A 20,946-nucleotide genomic window follows, 5' to 3' on the forward strand; every position below is an offset into this window, starting at 1 on the left:
TACATACCATATGGCTCCATTTATGACATTCTGGAAAAGGCAAAGTAGAGGGACAGGGGACAGATCAGTGGTTGCCAGGGGCTGGTGGGGCATGAGGGAGTTTTGGAGTTGATGGAAATGTTTTCTATCTTAATTGTGGTGGGAGGTATGCAATGACATGTATTTGTTAAAACTGTCCACTGAGAAGAGTGAATGTCATTCTATGCAAATGGTACCTCAATAAACCTGACTTAAAAAAAAAAAAAAAAAAAAAGCCCTTTCTGGCCAGGCACAGTGCCTCATGCCTGTAATCCCAGCACTTTGTGAAGCTGAGGTAGGAGGATTGCTTGAGGCCAGGAGTTTGAGACAAACCTGGGTAACATGGCGAAATCCTGTCTCTCCAAAAAAAAAAAAAAAAAAAAAGAAAAAAAAAGAAAGAGTACAAAAATTAGCTGGGCATGGTGGTGCACACTTGTAGTCGTGGCAACTTGGGAGGCTGAAGTGGGAGGGGTTCCTGAGCCACACACTACACACCACCACACTCCAACCTTGGCAACAGAGTGAGACCCTCTCTCTAAATAAATAAATAAGTAAATAAATAAGCCCTTTCTGCTGAGTGCAAATTGGTACAACCACTGGGAAAACTGTTTGACAATATCTGTGAAAGCTGAACATATGCCTATCCCATGACCCAGCAATCCCACTCCTAGGGATATACCTAAGAGAAAGGAGTACACAGGCCACTCAAAGATGCACACTGAATGCTCCCAGCAGCTTTATCTGTCATAGTGAAAAACTAGAAACAACCCAAATGTCATCAATGATAGGCCCTAGAAGGACACAGGAATTAGGTTACCCATGAGAGGTAGCTGGTTTAATAAGGTCCTGTTCAACCTAATGCCTGTGACTGCCCAGTAATCCCTCTACTATACCCCATCTGCTCACTGCTGTATCCTTAATCGCCCAGTGTCCCCAGCCCTTCCTCTTGGAGTGCTAACACATGCACAAATAGATCCCTTGGTGGTATATTCATAAGAAGGAATACTACATAGCAATGAGAAAGAATAAACTACATTTACATACAGCAACCTGCGTGAATCTCATAGACAGGTTTCATGAAAGGAGACAGACATGAGGAGACACACTGATTCCATTCATCTGAAGTTTAAGAAGAAGCAAAACCACTCTTGGGTGATAGAAGTCAGAATAGTAATTACTTCTGTGGGGTTGGGTACTAACGGACAAGGGGTACAAGGGAAGCTTCTAGGGGATGGAATTATTTTATATTTGGGTGGTGATTACATGGGTGTGTGTGTAATTAAAAATTCACTGGGCCACACACTTAAGATTTGTGCACTGTATTGTGTGGGTTCTAGGTGTGTTAATACAAAATAATGAGATGTTGAGGTGGGAGAATTGTTTGCGGCCAGGAGTTTGAGACTAGTCTGAGCAACATAACAAGACCCCCCCAATCTCTAAAAAAAATTTGTTTTAATTAACAGGGCGAAGGGGGCACACCTGTATTCCCAGCTACTTGAGAAGCTGAGGCAGAAGGATTGCTTGAGCCCAGGAGTTTGAGGCTGCAATGAGCTATGATTGCACTGCTGCACTCCAGCCTGAGTGACAGAGCAAGATCTTGTCTCTGAAAATAACAATAATAATACAAAATACAAAACAAAGTATATTATGCACTTGTCAGCCTCACTGATCATTGCAAGAGCCAAGGATGAGAAAAGATGAGGAATACAAGATCCCAGCCAGGAGGTGAGATGAAACTGGGGCCTGCAGGGGCTGCTAACACCCATGGAGGGGGAGTTCTAAGCCCTAGAAGGACACAAGAATCAGGTTGCCCATGAGAGGCAGCGGTTTAATTAGGTCCTGTTCAACCTGACACATGTGACTGTCCGACCATAATCCCTCTGCGATGACCCATCTGCTCCCTGCTGCATCCTTAATTGTTCAATGTCCTGGCCCCTTCCACTCACTAACCCTCACACATCTCATGCTTGATCAAAACTAGTTCTCGCTGGACCCTGCCTTCCTGCCTCTCTCCTTCCTGCCTGCCTCTCTCCTTCCTTCCTGCCTCTCTCCTTCCTTCCTTTTTCTTTCTTGAGTGGTTTCCCAACCAGTTGTGCCCCTCCCCTCTCCTCACCAGCTGCTCCCATGAAGGTCCTCCAAAGCTTCCCATCGGCCAAGCCCAGGGGCTCCATGGCTTGCTCATCCCCCATCCAAACTCTCTGCTCACAGCCCATGGGTGACCCTGTCCACCTGCTGGAAACGCCCTCCTCCCTTGCTTCCCAGAGCACCTTCTCCTGTTCTCCTGGGACCCCCTTGAGGACCTTCATCAGTCTCCTTGGTACCTTCTCCTGCTCCCCTAGGACCCCCTTGTGGGCCTTCATCAACATCCTTAGCGGGCTTGTCTTTCTGCATCCAGTGCCTATGTCTGGCGAGGTCCAGGACTCAGCCCCAGGCCTCTTCTCCTTGGCATTCCCTCAGGTTCCTGGACTGTGTCCTCCTTCCCAGCCTGGCGTTCTAGGTTAGACGTTGGTCTCTGAGCTGTAGCCCAGGCCACTAAAGCACCCTGGCTAGCAACCATGGATGGCACTTCTCAGCCCCCACCCTACTTGGGGTGTAAGCAGATGGCAAGGCCCTCTATGCATCTCCGCCTCAGTCCCCAGAGCAGGTGGCTCCGGAAATCCCGTTGGCCCTCCTGCTCAGCTGGCTCATGTCTGGAACCTATCCTGACATTGTCATGTCTCCCATTGTGTTCTTGCTGGGCCTGCTCAGCCCCTTTGGTGCAGAGGACTCCACCTGCAGACTTACTCGGTTACTCTCCACATGGTGGCCGGAGGATCTTTAAGAAATGGAAGTCAGTTCTCAGACCCACAACGCCCCCCACTGCAGTTGGAATAAACTCCAACAAGGCCCTGTGTGAAGTGCCTCTGTTTCCCACTCCACCCTCTTGCTCCCTTCCCCTTGCTCGCTGGTGCAGCCACACTAGCCTTGTTGCCCGTCCTGGAACACACCAGGACATGGACATTATGGGGACATGCAATTCAGCCCATTTACAGGGCCCTGCTTTACAGGATCTCTGTTAATGGGCTGAACTGCACCCCCCACAATTCATGTGTTCAAGTCCTAACCTCCTATACTCCAGATTGTGACCTTATTTGGAAATAGGGTTGTGCAGGCTGGGCGCGGTGGCTCACGCCTGTAATCCCAGCGCTTTAAGAGGTCAAAGCGGGTGGATCACCTGAGGTCAGGAGTTCAAGACCAGCCTGGCTAACATGGTGAAACCTCGTCTCTACTAAAAATACAAAAATTAGCCAGGCATGGTGAGACATGCCTGTAATCCCAGCTACTCTGGAGGCCGAGGCAGGAGAATCGCTTGAACCCGGGAGGCAGAGGTTGCAGCGGGCCAAGATCACACCACTGCACTCCAGCCTGGGTGACAGAGCAAGACTAAATCTCAAAAAAGAAAAAAAAAAAAAAAGAAATAGGGTTGTGTAGATGTAATTCATTAAGATGATGATATGGTTTGGATCTGTGTCCCCACCTAATCTTATGTTGAAGTGTAATCCCCGGTGTTGAGGGTGAGGCCTGATGGGAGGTGATTGGGTCACGGGGCATGGGGGACATGGGGCGGTTCCTCATGAACGGTTTAGCGCCATCCCCCTCGGTGCTGTTCTCATAAGTTCTCATGAGATCTGGCTGTTTAAAAGTGGGTAGCGCCATCCTACTCCCTTTTGATCCTGCTCTGGCCATATAAGACAAGCCTGCTTCCCCTTCACACCTTCTGCCATGATTGTAAGTTTCCTGAGGCCTCGCCAAAGCAGAAGCTGCTATGTTTCCTGCATAGCCTGTACAACTGTGAGCCAATTAAACCTCTTTTCTTTATAAATTACTCAGTCTTAGGTATTTCTTTACAGCAGTGCAAGAACAACCTAATACAGATGAGGTCACACTGGAGTAGGGTGAGCCCCTAATCCATTATGACTGGTGTCTTTATAAGAAGGAGAGATTTGGACACAGACGCACACAGGGAGAACGCCATGTGAAGGTGAAAATGGACGTGCTGGTCTACAAGACTGGGAAGGCCGAAGGTTGCCAGCCAACCTCCAGAAGCTAGGAGAAGGCCTGGGACAGATTCTCCCTCACAGCCCCCAGAAGGAATCAGCCCTACCGACACCTTGATCTTGGACTTCTTGCCTCCAGGACAGAGACAATACCTTTCTGATGTTGAAGCCGCCAGTTTGAAGCACTTATTCTCATAGCCTTAGCAAATTAAGACAGTACCTCTGACAGGGATGCCTCCCTCCCCGAATCAGCACATGACTTACTCCTCGTGTCATTGAGATCTCGGACAGAAAGCTACCTTTTCCAAGAGGCCTTCCCTGAATATCCCGTCTAAATGGCTTGGCCCCTTCCCTCACCCATTGCAAGCGCAGGCTCAGGTCATCCTCCAGCCTGTCGCCCTCATCCTGCATGTTCGCCCTCACACGCATGACCACCTGAAGACAGAGTATGTAGTCATTTGCACACCTGGTTTTTTTTGTCTGTCTCCTCTGCTAGTTTAAGAGCTTTGTGTGGTCCAGGGCTTCTGGCATCTTCTGCTGTGTCTCCCGTGTCTGGCACAGGGGCTCTCAGGTGAGATCACCATTTGGATGCTTTTAGCCAATCAGCAAATATTTAGTGGGAATCTATGCTGGGGAACAAAACAGCCCCAGTCCCTGAGGCAGGGCAGGGAGGGAAGTCAGTGTTTTGTGGAAAGCAGGAGAATGTATGGAGTAGTTACTGGGGAATGTGGAGGGAAGCGTCTAGAGAGACGGGGAAGGACAAAGGCCTGTTTGTACCCGGTGAGCTGGAGCTGCAGCTGAGCGAGGCATCTGCTGCACCAGGCGACTTCTGATGCTCACATCCCTTGGGTGTCCCCCAGCCCAAGATGTCCTAAACCAAACCTGTCATGTTCCATGGAGGACTCTCAGTTCGCCTCCTGCAAGGGATACTACAAACACCCACCAGGTCTCCTGGGTGGGAACCTGGGCACAAGCGTCCCATTGTTCTCCCTCCTGTACCCCACATCTGATGGGCCAGCTCATCCTGTGCACCTTCAATCCCCCACTTCCAATGCTTCTCCTCCACCCTAATGCTAGCTCCTTGAAGCCCTCAAGGATTCATGACATCCAGGTGGCTGTGGTGGCCTCTGGGGAGGGAGGGGGACACTACATCCATAAATGTATTAATTTTTCAATTATAATATCGAAGTTCAGGCTGGGCATGGTGGCTCATGCCTGTAATCCCAGTGCTTTGGAGGCTGAGGCGGGAGGATCACTTGAGCTCAGAAGTTTGAAACGAGCCTGGGCAACATAGCAAGATCCTGTTTCTACAAAAATTTTTAAAAATTAGCATTAGCCTGGCATGGTGGCACACCTTAGTCCCAGCTACTTGGGAGGCTGAGGAGGAAGGATCACTTGAGTCCAGGAGCTCGAGGCTACAGTGAGCTATGATCGCAGCAATGCACTCCAGCCTGGGCAACAGAGTGAGACCCTATCTCTAAAAAAAAAAAAAAAAAAAAAAAAAAAAAAAAATTAAGTTTATATAAAGAGTGTGAGTGTCTGACGGCAGTTTTCCCCTTCTCAGGGGTCAAAACCCTTCACAAGACTCATGAAGGCCACTCCCCAAAGCAGCAAGAGTTGAGGGTCCAGGTGCTGTGAAGGTGGCAGGGATGGTGCTGGTGGGAGTAGCCTGGCCAGCCCCTCTTGTTGCACGGTGATGCTGTTCTAAGGCCCACTTGAGAACTTTACCTGGCTCCCCGAGGATGTACCTCTGAAGGCTCAGGCAGACCCCAGGGCCCATTCCCACCCCTTCAAACTGCCAGAGACTGTCTTGGGGGTGCCCACTGACCCCTTGAGCCCCCTTGCTCTGGTTCCATGACTGTGATGTGTACTAGACAACAGGGCTCTGAGTGGCCTCCGGGGCATCCGCTATAGACAGGGAAGGTGGCCTAAGGATCCCGAGAGTCCACTGTGGTCAGGGCCCAAATTGCTGGAAGAAGGGAGTGGTGGCTCTGTGCGAGCTCTCCCCGAACCACCTGCCCACTATTTCTACGGCCACAGAGACTGAGGCACAGAGAGGGGTGGCCATCTGCCTGGAGTCATGGGGTGAGGCAGGGGTCACTCTGTCCCCTGAGGCCTTTACCCTGAAAGTGATCCTTGCCCTGAGCCCATCCCATAACCCCATGGGCTTCCTGTTAGTCCAGCACCTGCCTCCAGAGTTGGGGGCTTTTGAGGCAAGGGAGGGCAAACTTGCCCTGAGAATCCTAGTCCTACTGCATGCAGCCTTTATTTCCTGATCCCACAGGAACTCCAGGAGTCAGGAGCCCTCCCTGTCAACAGCCTCTTCTCCCCTACCCCACACCTACCCTCCCCCAAACCCAGCCTCTGCTCACTATGTCTTCCTTGACACCCCAATTGGTTTTCATCATTTTTTTTTTAAAGATTGAACTGCATTTCAGACATTTGCATTTCATGTCAGAAAATGTGAATTCAGCAGCCGCCAGGATGAATGCCAGTCGCCAGGTGCTGAGGGTGAAGGCGAGGGCCGGTGTCTCCAGCTGTGGGGCAGGACAAAGTCCCTGTGATGCCAGCTGCCACCAGGACCCAGGGACAGGCGAGAGGGCCCCAGAAGAATGCCGAGCTCACGTTACTTGGCAGAAAGAAAATGATTCAATTTTGTTCTATTCACCGAAACACATGTTCTTGTCCAAAGCTAATTTCCTGCTGCCCCCAGCTTGATTGTGTCTCTGTTTCGTCTCTCACTCTGAACACCGTCCTCTTCTTAAGAATCTTGGGATTCTGAACTGCTTTTCTATTTCCAGAATTCCACATTGCGATTTTCATTTTTCTGTCTCTGGAAGGATGTGCCAGTTGCCTTTACAAAGGGGGCCTGAGAGGCTGGAGGAGACGGGCAGGAGGGAGACTTTTCTCTGGGTGGCCTTTTGTGGATTTTGAATTTTGAACCATATAAATGTACTTTCTGATTTAATGAAAAACATTTAAAAATTAAAAAATTGTTTCCACTTAAAAATAATACCTTTCGGGACCCTGCTCCCCTGTCTCTCCCCCTTGTCCCTCTCTCCCTTGTAGCTAGAGCCTTCACTGCCTCCCTTTTTACGGCTCCTCTGCCTTCACCCAAGGCTGCTCCGACAAGGATCCCCCCAAAGCCTCCCCAGGGCCAAGTCACCTCCTCTGCCCTCTCTGGACACAGCCCATGGCCAGCCAGTTCACCTTTTGGAAACCCTCCTCCTTGGGTTCCTGTGTGTCTCCTCCTCATGTCTGTCCTCTGGCCCTCCCTTTTCAATCTCCCTGGGGGGCCCCCAAATGCTGGCATGGTCTGGGCCTCTGCCTGGACTCTCTCCCACAGTATCACCCACCCCTGATGCTTCGACACCCTCCTGGACCCAGTGACCTCCAGTGTACACTCCACACCAAATCAGGTCCTTCCCTGCTTGGATCCACTCTTACCCCTCCATCCCTGCCGAGCCCCAGATCCCGGATCCACCTGCCTCCTTGACACCCCATTTGTTTACTTCAGGGACCTCACATCAACACATCTGGATGGGCTGGCTTCAAGTCTGAACTCTGCCACCTCCTTGTTGTGGGCAAGTTTCTCAACCTCTGTGTGTCTCTGTTTCCTTGTGTGTAAACGATGATAGATGAGGTAGTATCTACCTTATGGTATAGTTGTAAGTATGAATGAATTAACATTAAGTAACACTCCTAGAACAGTGTCTGGCAAATCGTAAATACTAAAATGCATTTGTTGGATAAAAATGTCCCAAATGGAACTCCTGATTTTCCTCTTGCAAACCTTATCCTCTTGCAGCTTCCCTTCCCGCTGCCATTCAACCCATTCTGAATGCCAGAAACCCAGGGGTCTTGCTTGACACTGCCCTCCTCTTCCTCCTCCTCCTCCTCTGCTTCTCTTCCCCCAGGGTGCACCCCATCCCCAACTCTGGCCCATTTTATTTCCTAAATCTCTCTCCATCTCCACCCTTTCCCTGGCCCATGGTCCCCTGAAATTGCTCTTGTTAAGCTCATCAGTGTTCCACTAATTGCCAAATCAAAAGAAATTTTCAGCCTTCATCGGTTTGGATTTTCTGCTACATTTGGTCCTGCTGATCTTGCTCTCCTAGAAACGCTTCACTAGCCCAGTTTCCATGACAACCTGCTCTCCAGCTCTGCTCACGTGGCCACGTGGCACTGACATTTCTTTCTCTCCGTTGCTTTTGTAGGTGCCCCAGGCTCTGCCAGCCCCTGAAATGATGGGTTGGAGGTCCTTAGATTCCAACAGGACTCTCCCTACCTCTCAGTCTCCCCAAGACATGGCCACCCCAACTCTGCAGCTCTGGTTGAGATGTCCTCCTGAAAGCCAGACTGCTGGACCTGACTTCCCGCTGGCCATGACTTCCTACTGGCCATGACTTCCCGCTGGCCATCTCCCCCAGGTGTCCGCAGGCCCCACAAAGTCAACTTTGAATTGTGGCCATTACCCCTCCCTAATCCACTTGCTTCTCCAAGTCCCAGTGAGATCGTCATAAGACAAATATCTGCCTGTGGCTCTTACCTGCTCAAAACCCTTCCACGGCATCCTATTGCCTACAAGATTAAGTCCAAGATGTTGAGCATCTTTTTGTATGTTAATTTGCCATCTGTTTATCTTCTTTGGGGAAGTGTTTGTTCAAATCTTTTGCTCATTTCTTATTGGGTTGTTTTTTTTTTTAATCATTGAGTTTTAAGACTCCTTTATAAATATTCTGGATACAAGTTCTTTATCAGATATATGATTTGCAAATGTTTTCTCCCAGTTTGTTGTTCGTCCCTTCATTCTCTCAGCAATTAAAAGAGCATACTTAAAAAAAATTTGATGGAGTCCAGTTGATCAATTTATTGCTTCATGAATCATGCTTTTATCATTTCGTTCTTTTATGGTGTTGTGGCTAAGAAATTTTTGCCTGACCCAAGGTTATGAAGGTTGTTCTCTTATATGTTTTATCCTAGAAGTTTTATCATTTTGGTTTTACCCTTTTATTTTTTACTTATATTTTTATGCCTGAGTTAGAGTTGGGTTTTTGGTATTGCAAAGAAGGGAGACCCTGCTAATATTGTAATCTATTTGAAAGGTGAAGCTTAAAGACCTTCAATGGCTCCTCATTGCTCTTGGGATAAAAGTCCTAAACTCCCTAGCATGGCTCAAAGGGCCTGCATGAACTTCCTGGCCTGATTCCCAACCCTTTTCCTTTCTGGCCCCTCATGGTGCCCTGTGCTCTGGATGTACACACTGAATGGCAATTCCTTGAGCTCAATGCCCAGGGCAATTCTTTCTTGGAGCTTTAGGGCAGGCTGGATCAGACAGCCAGGCTGAAGCAAGACTCCATTCCCCCTCTCCTCCAGATATGAAGTTGTTTTTTATGTGAGACTACACCCAGGACCCCACTTGAGCATCTTCCATTTATTTCTCTTTCCCCCATCAAAGCTGACCCATCCTGAGCCCTGTGCCCTTAGGTTCAGGGTCCCAGTGCACTTCCTCCCAGTCTTTATTTGGATGTTCTTTTCTGTTTTCCACAGCTGAGATTATATCCTGCATATAATTTGCACCCTGGCTTCTCAGTTGCTGCTCCACTTTTTATATTATAAGAATTTTCGAGCTTTTTGTAAAAATACAATTAGTGGATGAATAATTGTCCATTTGAGTGGATATAAAATGATTTGCTTAACATTTCCTCTATAGTTGGTTTTTTGGGTTGCTTCCATTTTTTATTAGAAACAAGGGCATACTACATCTCTTTGTACATAAATCTTTGTCGATTTGAGATTATTTCCTTCTGATGGAGCACCATAAGTGTAATTACTGGGTCAAAGGCTGTGGTAATTTACATTCCCATCAGCAGTATTGTCTGTTTCATCACACCCTAGCCAGCATGGGGTATTCTCATTAAAATTTTTTTCTTCACTCTGTGATGGGCAAAATGTGTTATCTCACTGTTGTTTTAATTTACTTTTTAAAAAATAATTAGATATTGGAAAATGGGTTCAACCTATGAGCCATAAAAAATTAATCTTCTGTTAATTGAGTGTTCATCCCTTCACACTTACCCAGCAGTGATTTGAATTTTTAAAACTCAATTTGTATGGATTCTTAAACACCAAGGATATTAACCCTCTGCGTGACATCCTCGGAAGTTGTTTTCAATTTCCACACAGTTAAATCTAAAATTTTTAATCTATTTTCTTCTTATTTTCTTTGTGATTGCTTCCCTTGCTTTTAAGCTTAGAAGGCTCACTGAGAGTTTGGGGTGAATATTCACTTCTACTTTATTCAAGTGTGATTTTTAATTTAAATCTTTAATCCATCTGAACTTGATGCTGATGTATGACATGAAGTGAAGAATGAGTGGATTTGCTTTTCCAAATAGCTTAGCGATCGTTCCAACACCATTTATTAACTAAGCCCTTCTTTCTTCACTGCTTCATGGTGTCCCTTCTTAGCTCTGTGGAGTATGGTAATATTTTTCTGTTATACTGTGTATGGGTTTAATATCCTCCACCCTCATTCTTCGCCCCACTGTCCAAGCTTCCTGGGTGCATGGTTTTTGGGGTGCTGACATTACATAGAGTCCCTGGCTTGGCCTTTGAGCTCCTCTGTGGGCTTTTGTGAATCTGTAGCACAAACCACAATTGTGTGGACTATTGTCCACAGGGGAGTCTACAGGAATGAAAGCCATAGCTTTTCAGGACAAGAGCTGGGACTTGAGAAAGGAAGCATTCTAGATTCTACAAAGCTTGGAGGATTTGGAGTTAAAGCTAAAGGAAGAGGCAAAGAGCTTATGCATAGACAATAGATGGAAAAGACAGTTCACGATGATGGTGGAGCCTGAGCCCCTTGAAGGGGGTAAGAGTTCAACCTGTGGGCAGAAGGAGAGAAATCCAAGGAAATTCAAGCAGAATATTAGTACTGGCTGGATCCCCCAGAAAAGGCTCATCTTCCAGTCCCTGAACTGAATCCCAAGGGGGAATATGATGGGGTCCCAGACAAGTCTGGGGGATTCCAGAGCAGAAGCCTTAAGTCTAACCTGGTGGTTACATCAAGGGGAGCAAAGGCAGCAGAATTCCCTGAGCAGCCTTGTGGAGCCGAGCTGGCACTGGAGGGTGTCTGGGCTTGGTTGGGGCCAAGAGTGAGCTTGCCGACCCAGGGAAGCTAGGGTTTGCCAAATTCGGGGAGACAGAGCCTGTGGTTACCAGGAAGTGAGGAGGGACCAGAAGAGGCAAGATCCTGCCAGGCAGAGCAGAGCAGTCTATGTGTCCTGTTGACACTGTGGCATTCACGCCCATCACACACAAGTCGCCTTTCCCTGAGTCCTGGAGCTTGGACCTGCACCCTGCCACTGTCATCTCATTGATGTAGTTTTGGGTTATATTTTGCTAGCTGGGAAGGCTGGTCAAACCTCCCACTCCAGACAGCCTTCTGGTGAATGCCTTCTCCTCATGACCTGCAAACTCCGCTTTCATCTTTCATAACTTTGACTTCTGATTGTGGACTAGATTCCCCCCGAAGTCAAGTTCTGGACATGAACCTAGTTGGAGCTCACTCTGGGATGTAGAGGGGCTGGGACGCTGGAGTCAGAGGCAAGAGGCACAGAGGTTGAGTCCGCTACCTGCCACTAGCGTGCCCTGAGGCCTTCCACAGCTAGTGCCCTGTGCAGAGTCTCATTTTCCTGCTTTGCTTCTCCGTGGAATCCCTGTCAGCCTCGTGGGGTTTGTGAGGATCATATAAAACTTAGCTCTGACTCAACTGTGTAAACTGTGAAGTCCTGTGCCCACGCTGGGGTGGGTGATCCTGGTTCTCCCTCCTGAGCAGACCTCCTGTCCCATACCCCATCATCCCTGCATGACAAGGATGCCAACCACACAACCTTCTCCTCCAACTCTCCTGGCCCCTCCTTCACTCTGCCGTGCAAAATTAAGCAAACACACGGAATTTGTTTGTTTCGATAATCACAAACTCTTTTTGGCTAAAAATTTTTGACCTCCCATTTCAGACATTTTATTTCAAATCAGAAAATATTTGTTCAACAGCCCCAGTTGGCTGCTCCAGACTGGGGAGGATTCCAAAACGAATGAGACAGGGTCCTGGCCATGGAGTGGGATGAAATTCCTGCCAAAGGGAGACACAGTTAAAACACAAAGGTCATATACAAGTTCCCAGACAGAAAGTGGGACGCAGATTACTCAGTAAAAGGCCAATCGAGCGCTGTCCCAGGAGGTTGGATGTGTGTTACCGCCAGGGTGGATCCCTCTCGTCCATGTGGCCTCATTTCCTTGGAGGCCTCATTTAGCTAATTGCCTCTGCTCCACAGTAACTCATATCCCACAGGTACCTTCCTTTGGGAAAATTAATATGCAAATGTTGCCCTTTTATTAAAACCAAAATGAAGCAAAAAATTCTGCCCCCCTTTGTTGACTCTCCTCTCTTGACAGATAGACCCTGTATCAACCTTGCTCCTGACCCACCCCTCCGCATCCCCGAAAAACTGACAAACGGCCCTGAAGGCCAAGTCCAGGGTCACCAATCAACTTTTACCTCCCCTGAGCTCCCTGCCACTGCCACTGTGTCCTTTTGGAAACTCTCTTCCATGGGCCCCAGGGAGTCCCCCCTGCTGCTTTCCTCTCTGGTCCTTCCTTCTTGGTGTCCTCTTCCCTTACCCAGCCACCTGAACCCGAGTGCTCGCCTGGGCTCAGCCTCTGTCATCTGCTCATTCCTCTGCACTCTGTTCCTTAATCTCACCCATCTCTGAGCTGCTTCAACACCGCCTCCACCCCGGCTTGGACCCAAAGCCTCTGCAATGTCCAATTCCAGCCCAAGTTCTCCTATGGACTCCAGAAGCCACAAGTCCCAAAGGCACCTCATGCTCAACTGACTCAACAGACAACTCTTCTCATCCAAATATGGTGCTTCACCAGAGTCCCACATCTCATGGAGAGATGCCACCAGCCAGTAGACCCAGGAGACGCCTGGCATCTTCCTCCACAGCTCACTGGCTCTCACCACCTACCTCCACAGTCCAGCCTCAAGCCTGGAGACTTCATCTCCCAGTGGCTCCTGGGCCCTTCCAGTTCTCTTCAGCTCCACCCCCTCCTGCACTCCTGCCATCGCTTCCTCGCTAGAAGCCAGAGTGATTCCTTCTTTCCTTCCTTCCCTCCTTCCTTCCTTCGTTCCTTCCTTCTTTCCTTCATTCCTTCCTTTCATTCTTTCGTTTTCCTTCCTTCCTTTCATTCTTTCATTTTCCTTCCTTCCTTCCTTCCTTCCTTCCTTCCTTCCTTCCTTCCTTCCTTCCTTCCTTCTTTCCTTCCTTCCTTCCTTCCTTCCTTCCCTCCCTCCCTCCCTCTTTCCTTCTTTCCTTCTTTCCTTCCTCTTTCTGACAGAGTCTCACTCTGTCATCCAGGCTGGAGAGCAATGGCATGGTCTCAGCTCACTGCGTTCTCCATCTCCCAGGTTCAAGTGATTCTCCTGCCTCAGCCTCCTGAGTAGCTGGGGTTAACAGGCATGTGCCACCACGCCCAGCTAATTTTTTTTTTTTTGGTATTTTTTTTAGTAGAGATGGGGTTTTGCCTTGTTGGCGAGGCTGGTCTCGAACTCCTGACCTCAGGTGATCCACCCACCTCAGTGTCCCAAAGTGCTGGGATTACAGGCATGAGCCACGGTGCCCAGCCCAGAGTGATACTTTCAACATGCAAATTGGAACAAGTCATTGCCATGCTTAAATGTCTCCAAAGACTCCCCAGCATTCTTGGAATAAAGCCCCAAACCTTTCCAGCTGGCTGGCTCTTCCATTCAGATTTTTTACCCTGCTTCCCCTCATCCACTGTGTTCCAGCCTTACTGGCTTTCTTCCCCTCCCAGAACACACTCTGCCCCTCCCACTGCTGGGCCTTTGTCTGGGCTGTTTCCTCTGCCTGGAATGCTCTTTCTGATTCCTCCTAGCCTGGTTGATACCCACTCATCTTTCAGATCCCTTCTGGGGGTCTCCTCACTGTTTTCAGCACCACACACTTGTCCTTCATGAGTATCAGTGTTGCTAATTATCCTTTTATTCATGTAATTAATTCACATCTGTTTCCCCTTTTAGGGGAAGCAACAGGAGCCCCTTTTAGACAATAAGCTCCACATGGGCAGGGATGTGTGTCTGTCTTTTTCACATGGTCTCATCAACAACTAGCCAGCACACAAGAGGTGCTCAAAAAATATGTGTGGAATTGAGTTGAAAACTTTCTCTTGACTCCACATCTCACTTTCGAGCTCCCAGACAATCTTTCTCTAAACTTTTCTAATTATCAAAACTTAATTATCTAAACTTCTGTAAAAGGGCTGTCTTCACTGACTATCTATCATCCTCAGGCACTGCAGTCGGGGTTCTGCTCCATCACACCCCTGAAACTGCTCTTGCTGAAGGCTCCGATAACCTCCTAATTACCAACTTGAGTGGGTGTTTTTCCAACCCTGTCTTATTGGAATTCTCTGCAGGGTTTGATATTGTTGATCACTCTCGCCTTCTCGAAATGCTGGGCTCTCTTGGTTTCCATGACAACACCCTCTCCTTGTTTTTAACCCATCTCTATGACGACTTTTCCTTCCCAGTCTCATTAATCAGAACCTCTGACTCAACCACCCTTAAAATGTTAGGGTCCTGAACATTTGATATTGTAAAGATGTCAATTCTCTCAAAATTAATTTAGAAATTCAATGTCTTCCCATCAAAATCCCACTAGGATGTTTTAATGGAACTTAATAAGCTGATTCTAAAAGTCATATGGTACAGGAGATGGGCAAGAATAGCCAAGATAATTTTGAGAAAGAAAAACAAGTGGTGGAACACAGTAGGGGAAAAAGGACTGGATTTGCCCTACTAGGTAGCATACGACAAAGCAACAAAAGGATTAAACAGTGTGGCAATGGCACAGGGATAGACACACTGACCTACAGAACTGAGGAGCTCAGGATTTGACCTGTGTCCAGAGGGAATTTGCCATATACTAGAAAGGGCATTTCAAATGATGGACATTGGTCACCAGGAGCCTGAAGCTCCCTCCCTGTTCTTTAGCTCTGAGGTTTTTTGAAGAAGGCCCACCCAGGCAGCCTCCTCATGCAGAACCATTTTCTTTCCTTTCCTGCCCAACCCCTCCAAGCCCTCACCCCTTCAAAAATTGCCTGATGCAGGTACCGTTTCCTTAAGACCTAGCTCTTATTTTTTTCTTCTTTTTCTATTGTAAAAAGAAATACATGGATGGATGAGTATATTGTATTCATTATATTGGTTAGATGGTGAGTATATTGTATTCATTATGTTATTCTTGTTCTCTTCTGCACTTTTGAAATATATTATCATATTTCTCTAACAGTCTAAGCAAAATAAATAAGGGAAAAATGAAATATATTATCATAAAAACAGCGATATCCAAATATGGCAGAAAATTTGGAGAGAAGTAAGTCATGAAGAACTAAAACATCTTGACAAGAATCCCAACATCCATTGTCAAGTTCTGTAAAAATGCGCCGGAAAAGCACATCTCTTCTTAGCCTTTTTAATGCATTTATTTACAATAGATGCTTTCATTGTATGTAATTTTGCACCATCCTTTTCCATTGATTATATGCTAAACATCTCCCCATATTAGTCAACTTCCTTTGTAATTATTATGTTTAATGGCTGCCTAATAATCCAGTTAATGAATGGAACATAATTTGGTTAACTGTTCTCCTGGAGCTGAAGATTTTGATAACTTCCTTTTTTCTTTTTTGCTATGACACCTAAAGCCACAGTGCACATCTTTCTGCAGAAATCTTTGGGCATTGCTTTAGAGCACTTCTTGGGATGAGCTTCCTGCAAATGGAATTACTGAGTCAAACAGTACGAACCTTTTTGAGGCTCTTCACACATCTTAAACAAATTGCCTTGTAGAAAGATTTTGCCACTTCACAGTCCTGCCAGCTGTGCAAGAGAGGGCCCATGCCACCGGGGCTGAATGAGCTCTGTGAGCTCTTGCTTTGTAAAGTACTCATTCGATGGGCCAAAAGTGGTATCCCTGCATTCAAATTTACATTTATTTTATTATGAGTAAGTTCAACATTTTCAACTGAATTTGACTTTTGAACTTCATCTTTCATAAATGGGCTCTTACAGCCTTTTATCACCCCAATGTTTCATTATGAAAATTCTTACTGCCTCTGTGAATGTTTTATTTATGAGAATTTCCAACACACAGAAGCTTTACATTTCCTATAGTCAATTATATTTATATTTTCCAGCACAGTTCTCTGTATTGCTGTAAATGCTACAATGGCCTTCCTCGACCATAGTTTGGATAATGAATCATTTCCAGTTTTTTCTAGTTATTACTATGCTTTCTTTTTTTTTTTTTTTTTTTTGCATTTAAATCATCTGACATGGCCGGACATGGTGGCTCATGCCCATAATCCCAGCACTTTGGGAGGCTGAGGTAGGCGGATCACCTGAAGTCAGGAGTTCAAGACCAGCCGGGCCAACATGGCGAAACCCTGTCTCTACTAAAAATACAAAAAAATTAGCCGGGTATGGTGGCGGGTGCTTGTAATCCCAGCTACTTGGGAGGCTGAGGCAGGAGAACCACTTGAACCCAGGAGGCAGGGGTTACAGTGAGCCAAGATCATGCCATTGCACTCCAGCCTGGGCAACAAGAGTGAAGCTCTGTCTAAAAAAAAAAAAAAAAAAAAAATCACCTGACACTTACTGAAAAGATGACATCAATTAAAAAGTAAAGAAGACAAAAAAAAAATTGAAAAAAATTTAAATAAATCACAGGACATTGATGTTGGTGGTTGGTATAAAGAGAGATAAATAATTGCTTTTCGTTTCTGAAATAGATAAAATAATTTTCCAGCCTCACTAAGTGACAAATCACTTCATTCCCCCTGCCTGCCCCCATTCATTTGCAGTGCCTCTGCTCTCATAAGTCATAGAATTAGACATTCTAGGGATCTGCATCTGGGCTTTCTATTCTGTTTCATTGAGATGTCTTTCTTTCTGTTACAAAATAATGGTTATTTTGTTTTGTTTTATTCTGCAATGTCTGTTAGGGTTAGAACCCTTGAAATCTCTGTTTCATATCAGATCACTTCCCCAAGCATCTAACTCCCACACCCAATTTCCCTTTTGGTAATCTAACCTTGAATTTCCCATAGCATGACTTTTTTACACAATACATGTTTTTCTAGCTACCTCCTCTCCCTGGAGATCACATGGTATTGTTGTGCTCCATAGGGGCAGGCCAGTGGTGCACTCAATCCTGAAATCTTGGAGGCACGGTCAGGAGATATGGCTTTGAGCCACATCCCTGCCAGTCATGCACTGTGTTGGGCCCTCCCCACGCTACTTTGTCTTGGGACATCTCAGCTTCCTTTTCTGTGAAATGGGGTTGTCAAGACCACGTGAGATAGAGAATGTCAATACAGCCTTATTCTTCACTCAACAAATGTGTGCTAGGTGCCAGGGATAAAAGAGCAGCCAGGGTAGAAATTGTCTCTGAAGAAACAGCCTTCAAGGAGCTTACAGTCTATTAGGGGAGAGTCCTCTAAAACAGAGGAAAAGGCAGTTGCCAAAGAAGTGATTGCAAAGGCTGTGGAGGAAGCAAACAGAATGTGAGGGAGAGCATGGGGTAGGAGCCCCACTTTAGATGGGTGGTTGGGGAGGGTCTCTCTTGGGAAACATTTAAGCTGAGCCCAAAAGTCTGAGAAGAGGGTGGTGGGAAAGTGGTTTCCAGGTATGAGGAGCAATGGGAGCCAAAGCTCTAAGAGAGGAATGAGCTTGGTGCACTGGAGGACTAGAAGAATTTGCTTATGGGTCGGGTGCGGTGGCTCATGCCTGTAATCCCAGCACTTTGGGAGGCTGAGGCGGCCGGATCACCTGAGGTCAGGAGTTCGAGACCAGTCTGACCAACACGGTCAAACCCCATCTCTACTAAAAATACAAAAATTAGCTGGGTGTGGTGGCACACGCCCGTAATTCCAGCTACTCAGGAGGCTGAGGCAGGAGAATCGCTTGAACCTGGGAGGCAGAAGTTTCAGTGAGCCAAGATCGCAGTACTGCATGCCAGCCTGGGCGACAGAGCAAGACTCCGTCTCAAAAACAAAACAAAACAAAACAAAACAAAACAAAAAAAGGCTACTCTGGCTGCTCTGTGGGGGTTGGATTATTGGGAAGAAAGTTAGCAAGTACCTGCAGTGACCAAGCAAGAGATGACGGCTTGGACTGAGCCATTGGTCATGATGATGGAGTTGGTTAGGAGGTAAGATCAACTGACCTTTCCATGAGATGTTGCAAGAGAAGAAGGCAGAGATTCTAGGGGACCGCTAAGTGTCTCCCAAAATAGGAGACATCAGTCAAGAACAAATTTGCAGAAGAAAGATTAGGAATTTGAATTAAAGAGCATAATGAAGTGAAAAAATAACAAACCAAGAATTTCATTTGGGATATGTTGTTGATGTCTGAGATGGTTGGCCATCAGGTTCTGGAGCTCAGACGAGAGATCAGGGCTGGATCTGGAAGAAGATGTAGAGAGGAAGATGGGTGTGTTGGACTGGAGCTTAAAGGAGCCCAGTGTGGACTATCAGTTTTGGGAATCAGCCTCTAGGAGAGAGGCAAAGCTTCAAGGATGCATGAAGTTGAGGGAAAAGGTGCACAGTGAGAGGGAAGGCTGGAGTCTGAGCCCTGGGCAGCACCAGCATTGGACAGGGGGAGGGGAGCCTGAGAAAGAGGGGAAGACAGGGAAAGAGAGTCCCAGAAGCCCATGAAGGAACATTTCCAGAAAGAGAGTGGCCACTGGTGGGCCACATGCACAGAGGTCAGTGGAGGCTCAGGCATCTCCTAGACCTGGCCTTTGGGGACTTTTGTCACAGCAACTTTGGGGCAAGGGGCAGAAGCCCCTGTTGGTGTTGGGGGAATGAACTGGGTCTGGCTGAGAAAGGAGGGAGGAGGGTTGGAGCAGGCAGCAGGTCCAGGAAGGAGCTGATTCTTCCAGGAGACATGGGAGGGAGGAAGCAGTACAAGCCCAGTTGGAAGAGCAGGGCAGGGCAGTGAGAGGGGCCCTGGAGCTCTGGGATTAAGTGTAGAGGTGAAGGGATTAGCAGTGTTGGTGAAAAGGGACAAAAGTAAATTATGTACATTTTAGCAAGTAACCTGATCTCCATGTTCTTTGGGAGGCCTTTTCTCTGCCCTCTGGGTACTGACTCCAGCTCTAGTTACCACTGGTTTCATCTGCCTCATGGCTGGGGCAATGTCTTTCTCATTTTCTTGTACCTTTCAGCACCTAGCGACAGGCAGCCAGCTAGGTAGGAGCAGAATAATTATTTTCTGCTTGAAACCCAGTGTCTGAAATGGAGATTCAGAAGTTTTTCTTTGTACCAAAAATACTTTGTGACAACCCTGAGGAAGTGAGATGACAGGGAAGGAGGTGTTGGGGTACATGGGGATGGAAGGGCTGGAGGGCTGGAAATGTCACCAGGTTAATTTCATGGCTGGGCACCGGGAGATGTGATTGGCAGGGGAGGAAGGGCTAGGACTACTCACCCCACACAGGCCTATCTCTTCACAGCCGATGTGACGCTGCCCAGTGGCCTGGCCTCCCTCAACCTGTTCACTGCTGCTATTCTTTCCAATAAACTCCATTGCCCAATCCAACAGACTTTTCCGTCTTTAACTCACTTGGCCTGGCGGGAGCATCTGACATAGCCAACCACTCCCTCATAAGAGTGGCTCTCCTTGGCTTCCATGACACCAACATCTCCCAGTTAACCTCCTGCCCCAGTGGCTGCTGCTCCTGCCTCTCCACCACTTGCTGCCCACTATGTAAATGTTGAATTCCCTCGGGGCTTGTGTCTGGGCTCTTTGTATCCCTCCCTCCCTTCCTTCCTTCCTTCCTCCTTCCCTCCCTCCCTCTCTTTCTCTCTTTCAACAGAGTCTCGCTCTGTGGCCCAGGCTGGAGTGCAGTGGCACAATCTCAGCTCACTGCAACCTCTGTCTCCCAGGTTCAAGTGATTCTCCTGCCTCAGCCTCCCGAGTAGCTGGGATTACAGGCACGTGCCACCATGCCCATCTATTTTTTGTATTTTTAGTGGAGACAAGGTTTCACCATGTTGGCCAGGCTGGTCTCCAACTCCTGACCTCAAGTGATCCACCTGCCTAGGCCTTCTACAGTGCTGGGATTACAGGTGTGAGCCACCACACCCAGCCTCTTTGCATCTTTGTCTGTATTCTCATCCTGAGTGATTACTAATGACTCTAATTTCATGCCCTCAGCTCTGCCCTCTCAAGGGCATACCACATACCCAACTACCCCATGACAGCTCAATCCGAATGTGAACTGCTCCCCAAAACTACACCCTCCACCTCCCACCCTCACTTGTCTTCCCCTTCTCTGCAAACGGCCCAACCTTCAACCCAGTTTCCCAAACCAGGTTCTTCAGCATCACCTTGGCTCTTCCATCGTCCTCTCCCCTCCCATCCAATCCCAGCAAATCCTGGCAGTTCTGTCTTTGGGGAATCTTGCCCAAGATAGCCTTCTCTCCACCCTACTGCCCCATCCTGGTTCCAGCCACCTCCCATCTCTCATCTTCTTACTGTGATGGCCTCACAACTTTCTTTTCTTCCTCCTTGCCCATCCACTTACCACACCGAAGAGCAGACTTCTTAAGATGTAAATAGGATCATGTCATTTTCTTTCATATCACCAGCCTTCAGTGACCTTCCATGGGCCTTAGCACCAACTCTGGTCTCTTTCTCAAGGCCTGCAAGACTCACCTGCTCTGCCCTGTCTGTCTCTTCCATCCCCCTTGGGTGCTCCAACTCACTGTCCTCCAGCCATAAGCAAATTCTTTTTTT

General features: G+C 47.5%; 2 annotated features.

The window, feature by feature from the left end:
* Positions 19,245–19,890: an enhancer, noted in NCBI's record as "H3K4me1 hESC enhancer chr20:36114871-36115516 (GRCh37/hg19 assembly coordinates)". NCBI's record gives its function as "activates a minimal SCP1, AML or CMV promoter by ChIP-STARR-seq in naive H9 embryonic stem cells {active_cell/tissue: H9 hESC(naive)}" and the evidence as "EXISTENCE:reporter gene assay evidence [ECO:0000049][PMID:30033119]".
* Positions 19,891–20,535: an enhancer, noted in NCBI's record as "H3K4me1 hESC enhancer chr20:36115517-36116161 (GRCh37/hg19 assembly coordinates)". NCBI's record gives its function as "activates a minimal SCP1, AML or CMV promoter by ChIP-STARR-seq in naive H9 embryonic stem cells {active_cell/tissue: H9 hESC(naive)}" and the evidence as "EXISTENCE:reporter gene assay evidence [ECO:0000049][PMID:30033119]".

This window comes from Homo sapiens, chromosome 20 (genome assembly GCF_000001405.40).
Source record: "Homo sapiens chromosome 20, GRCh38.p14 Primary Assembly".
NCBI lineage: Eukaryota > Metazoa > Chordata > Mammalia > Primates > Hominidae > Homo > Homo sapiens.